Consider the following 5,735-nt stretch of genomic DNA (forward strand, 5'->3'; position numbering starts at 1 on the left):
TGCAGCCATAAAAAAGGATGAGTTCATGTTCTTTGCAGGGACATGGATGAAGAACGTGCAGGTTTGTTGCATAGGTATACCCGTGCCATGGTGGTTTGCTGCACCCATCAACCCGTCATCTACATTAGGTATTCCTCCTAATGCTATCCCTCCCCTAGCCCCCCCACCCGCCTGACAGGCCCCAGTGTGTGATGTTCCCCTCCCTATGTCCATGTGTTCTTATTGTTCAGCTCCCACTTATGAGTGAGAACATGCAATGTTTCGTTTTCTGTTCTTGTGTTAGTTTACTGAGAATGACGGTTTCCAACTTCATCCACGTCCCTGCAAAGGACATGAACTCATTCTTTTTTATGGCTGCATAGTATTCCATTGTGTATATATGCCACATTTTCTTCATCCAGTCTATCATTGATGGGCATTTGGGTTGGTTCCAAGTCTTTGCTATTGTGAACAGTGCCTCAATAAACATACATGTGCATGTGTCTTTATAGTAGAATGATTTATAATCCTTTGGGTATACACCCAGTAATGGGATTGCTGGGTCAAATGGTATTTCTAGTTCTAGATCCTTGAGGAATTGCCACATTGTCTTCCACAATGGTTGAACTAATTTACACTCCCACCAACAGTGTAAAAGCATTCCTATTTCTCCACGTCCTCTCCAGCATCTGCTGTTTCCTCACTTTTTAATGATCACCAGTCTAACTGGCATGAGATGGTATCTGATTGTGGTTTTGATTGCATTTATCTAATGGCCAGTAATGATGAGAAATTTTTCATATTTGTTGGCTGCATATATGACTTCTTTCAAGAAGTGTCTGTTCATATCCTTTGCCCACTTTTTGATGATAATTTTTTTTTTTTTTGGAGACAGAGTCGTGCTCTCTCACCCAGGCTGGAGTGCAGTGGTGTGATCTCGGCTCACTGCAAACTCTGCTGCGTGGGTTTAAGTGATTCTCCTTCCTCAGCCACCCAAGCAGCTGGGATTACAGGCACACCACCACGCCCAGCTAATATTTTTTATCTTTAGTAGAGACAGGGTTTCACCATCTTGGCCAGGATGGTCTTGAGCTCCTGACCTCGTGATCCACCCACCTCGGCCTCCCAAAGTGCTGGGATTACAGGCATGAGCCACTGAGCCCAGCCAACATTCAGTAAATTTTTATAAATAATAATTTAAAATTCAGAAATTATGGCTTCCAATCACATTCCTATATCTTTTTTTGTTTGTTTGTTTGTTTGTTTGTTTGTTTGTTTTTGAGACAGAGTCTCACTTTGTCACCCAGGCTGGAGTGCAGTGGCATTATCTTGGCTCACTATAACCTCCGTCTCCCGGGTTGAAGTGATTCTTCTGCCTCGGCATCCCAAGTAGCTGGGACTACAGGTGTGCACCACCATGCCTGGCTAATTTTTGTATTTTTAGTACAGACAGGGTTTCACCATATTGGCCAGGCAGGTCTCGAACTCCTGACCTCTTGATCCACCTGCTTCGGCCTCCCAAAGTGCTGGGATTACAGGTGTGAGCCACTGCACCTGGCCAACCACATTCCTATATGATCTTTATCATAACTGGCATAATCTTCCTGTAGTTACCAAAAGGTTAAAAAAAATGAAATAAAACTTTTGACAACAATAGTCACCAAATTATTTGTTTTAAGTTCTCTGAACAAATGATTACTAAATAAGTCATTTCACTGTGTTACTCAATAGTATATTGTTATCTTGATTAAAGAAAATAGTTTAACATTGGTGGCAGGATACCATTTCATTTATTGCACATCAGTGTCAAAACATTGAAAACCATTTAGTTTATTAATTAAAACTAAGTTCACACATAGTCTAAGTAAGGCATTCCAAAATCCACTATATTCTTCTTGGTGAAAATACAGTCACAAACACTGAATAAGCATTATTTTTTCTCTGATGTAATTATCTTAGATACTTCCTTTCTCCATTTTTAAAGACTAAGGTTAATTATTTAGGAAACATTGATTTAAAACACATTAAAATCCTCTCATGGAGGTGTTATCTTTACTTTTCTCTGGTATCTGTAATTTTTTAAAAAATTATCACACTGAATGATATTCAAGACTTTAAACTTTTACTATAATACACTGGTATTTTAATAGACTGGCCAGCTTTTTTATCCTTCAAGGAGAGATGATTGGTAAAATTATTTATTTCAGAAATTCAGGATTTTTCACTCTTGCTTTAATAGAGAAGAATAACTTCCAGAACACCTCCCTCATGCAGACTTTAAGTAAACCACAAAGAGGATCTCTCCTTAAATTTGTTTTTTCTTTCTTTTTTTTTTTTTTGAGACAGAGTTTCACTCCTGTTGCCCAGGCTGGAGTACAATGATGCAATCTCTGCTCACTGAAACTTCTGCCTCCTGGGTTCAAGCGATTCTCCTGACTCAGCCTCCCAAGTAGCTGGGATTACAGGTGCCTGCCACCACGTCTGGCTAATTTTTTGTATTTTTAGTAGAGATGAGGTTTCACTATGTTGGCCAGGCTAATCTTGAACTCCTGGCCTCAGGTGATCCACCTGACTCGGCCTTCCAAAGTTCTGGGATTACAGGCATGAGCCACAGTGCCTGGCAGTTTTATTTTTGTTTTTATTTCTTAATTTTACGTTTGCCATGAAGGTTCCATGGAGAAATTCATGTAGAATGGCCTCTCCCAGCTCTGATGCAGCAACAGTAGGTCACATGTTTTCATATAAACACTAGGAATGTAGGGACAGGGTCAACTGAATGGAAAGTTGAATTACATCAATAATAGTTGTTTCTAAAAAAAAAAAAAGCAAATAATGACAATACAAAACGAGTATCCATTGATATATAATTATACCTGTTCAAATACAAAGCCGTTGCTTCATTGAAACATACAAATAAATTATCTAATTGTTTTGACTTTAGATTAGTCTCTATATTAGATATTCTTGTTTAATGTAAAGTTTTAAAATTGTAGTGCCTTTGTACTTTCTCGTGGAAATTCTCCGATGTTTATTTAGACTTGATTTTTGAATACTTCCTCACATTTATTGCATCTGAAAAGTTTCCCTATGGAAGAATTCCGTATGAATTCTGGTTATTTCTAAGGTTTATATTTTAAATCAAACTCCTTCTACATCCATTACGTGTATAGTGTTTCTCTAGCATGAATTATCTGATGTTGAGTAAAGTGTGAACAATAAAGGCTTTGCCACGTTTTTTACACTGTATTTAAAATAGCGCATAGAAAGCAAATCTGTTTTATTCATCAAGACAAATTAATAATCTGTTTTCCATTTTAAAGAAAGTGTGACGGTCTTTTTTCCAGCTAGTCGCCATCAGTTATAGAGACAGATCAGGGTCCCTGAGTGCTGGAAAAGGGGTCCTGTGCCCATTCAGATATCTAAGAAGGTTCTGGTTGGGATTCATTCATTTAACATAGAAATATTAAGCACTTCATTTTGTGTGGTTGCTTTTCTAGAACCTTGGCATATTTCAATGACTACAGCATACAGATCTCTGGGCCGCAATTCTGTTCAAGGAGTTAGACACTCCTTGGGGGAAATACAAAGACCATGGTTGGGAAGAGGCAGAAAGAACCCTGGGCCTCATGCGTCTTATGATTCCCATGAGAAGGCTGGGGTCTGGGTGTTCTGCAGAATAAAAGGAGTCAAAGAGAGCTGCGGATGGGCCTCAGGCCCCCTGCCAAGGAGAGAGGAGGCTGGAGCTCCCAGCCAGCCCTCGACAGACCCATCTCCATTACAGTCACATCCCAGCTCTGCCTGTCCCCCTCTATCCCACGTCTAAGGGGCCCAGAACTGGAGTTATAATGAGCAGCCTGCTTCTCATAACCCTCCTTCTGCGGGTGCCATAGACGGGCCTGGGGGGCAGCATGCCTTCCGGTAGTGGAGGGCACCAGTTAAAGATGCTAAGATCCCCTCTCCGCCTTGGGCGTCTCAGCCTGCACCATTGTGCTCTGCCTGGCTGTGACCCCTGTGGCCAGCGCCTCCTCAAAGCTCCTGGAGAGCAGCAGGTGAAGAAAGACTCAGCCAGCACAAGGCAAAGGCCTGGGTTCAGCGGGTTGAGGCTTTGAGGAGGCGGAACGGGCGCCTGGGTGGAAAGTGGTTGCCAGGTGTGAGTGGCACTGTGGGGCCAGTGCCCGGTTTTGCTGCCCCCGCTTCCTGAAGATGGCGGCTGGAGCCACCTGGGTGCAGCAGTTGATGTGGCACCTGCAGGGGCAGAACCGACACCCAACCGTGGGGACACTGCAGGAAGCCGGCACGGAGACGTCTATCTCCTCTGTCCCCAGGCCCTAGTTTCTGGCCAGCTTTGGCCAAAGCAAGAGGTTGGACTTTGGAGGGTGAGTGTGAGTGTGTGAGCTCATGTCCAGCCCCCGCCAGTGCTCGGCACAACAAGGTGACACCCTCTAGTGTCACCACTGCCCCCACCCTGCTTTCCTACCTGGCGAGCTAATGGGTCTCCCCCCCAGGGGTGCTGAACGCAAGGAGGAGGGTAGCGGGCCAATGTCCCAGGGCTGTGGGGCCCCTGGCTGTCAAGGTCAGGTGGAATGTGGTGGGTCTTCGAGAAGGGTTTGTGGGGTCAGCCGGGGAAGGGTATGCAAACCCTAACCTGCAGGGGTACCATGGTACCCATAATGCAGTGCCCACAGTACGCGGCCGGGCTAAGCGCTCCGTGAGCCACCTGCTCCTCACATGCGCTCCAGGCTCCAGGCAGTAAGCAGAGAGAAGTGGCCTGGTGGGCAGCTGCCGGGCACCTGCACCCTGGGGACAGCCAATTCCTAGGGGGACCGAGGCATCCTCATCCCTAGCCTGGCAGCTTTGCAGGAAGGCTGTTGCCTGACAAGGGAAAGGGGAGGGTCTGGGGAGGGGCAGTGGCCCAGTCAACTTGAGTGATTTCCAAGTGAATGAACTGGGGTCCCGCTGCCTCTGGCTCAGGCTTGTGGCGGAATCTGCCTGGACCTCAGGGGCTCCAGGCTGCCAGCTGCCTGTCGAGGCTCTAGGCGCCTCCTCCAGACCTCAGATTCCTCAGCTGTCTGAGAGGACTGATAGGGCATCATATGGCAGGGGTGTTTCAGGATTGGGCCAGATGATCCCCTGTAATCTCTTATTACCCCCTCCCTCCCCTCCACTTTCCTTCACCCCGCCTCCTTTTTTTTTTTTTTTTTTTTTTTTGCCTATTCTGAGTTTGTCATGAGACTTTGTGGAATGTCTCTGGTGGGGAGGTAGGAAAGGTGGAAACCCTTACCCTTGGCTTCAGGATTCCTTCCAGGCACCCCCTCCTCTTAGGCTTTTTTAAAGCACAGACCTAGCACCATTTCCTGTACCTCAGAGAGCTGCAGAGAACTTCATGTGTTTCCAAAACCAGAACACTTTGATGCTGACTCCAGACCCTTATCTCACCCCAAAACCCAAATGCCTTGGGACAGCCAGCTTCAGACAGGAGTGAATTTGATGCTCATTCTCTGGGATTGACCCAAGGCTTATATAATGGAGCACATCTGCCCCCGTGTCTTGGGGGAGTCAACGGTAGTGACCCAGAACTGTGAACACCATTCCCCACACAGAGCACAGGGAACGCAGCCCTCTCCAGCAGGCTGGCCTGGCCGTGGCCTGATGCACATCAGTCCTGAGGCAAGAGACCCAAGGCAGGAAATGTCTCTTGTGCATCCCCTTTCACAATGCAGCCATTTAACTGGGGGTGGTGCCTCTGTGGGTCCTCC

The sequence above is a fragment of the Homo sapiens genome, chromosome 7 (assembly GCF_000001405.40).
Source record: "Homo sapiens chromosome 7, GRCh38.p14 Primary Assembly".
NCBI classification, from domain to species: Eukaryota; Metazoa; Chordata; class Mammalia; order Primates; family Hominidae; genus Homo; species Homo sapiens.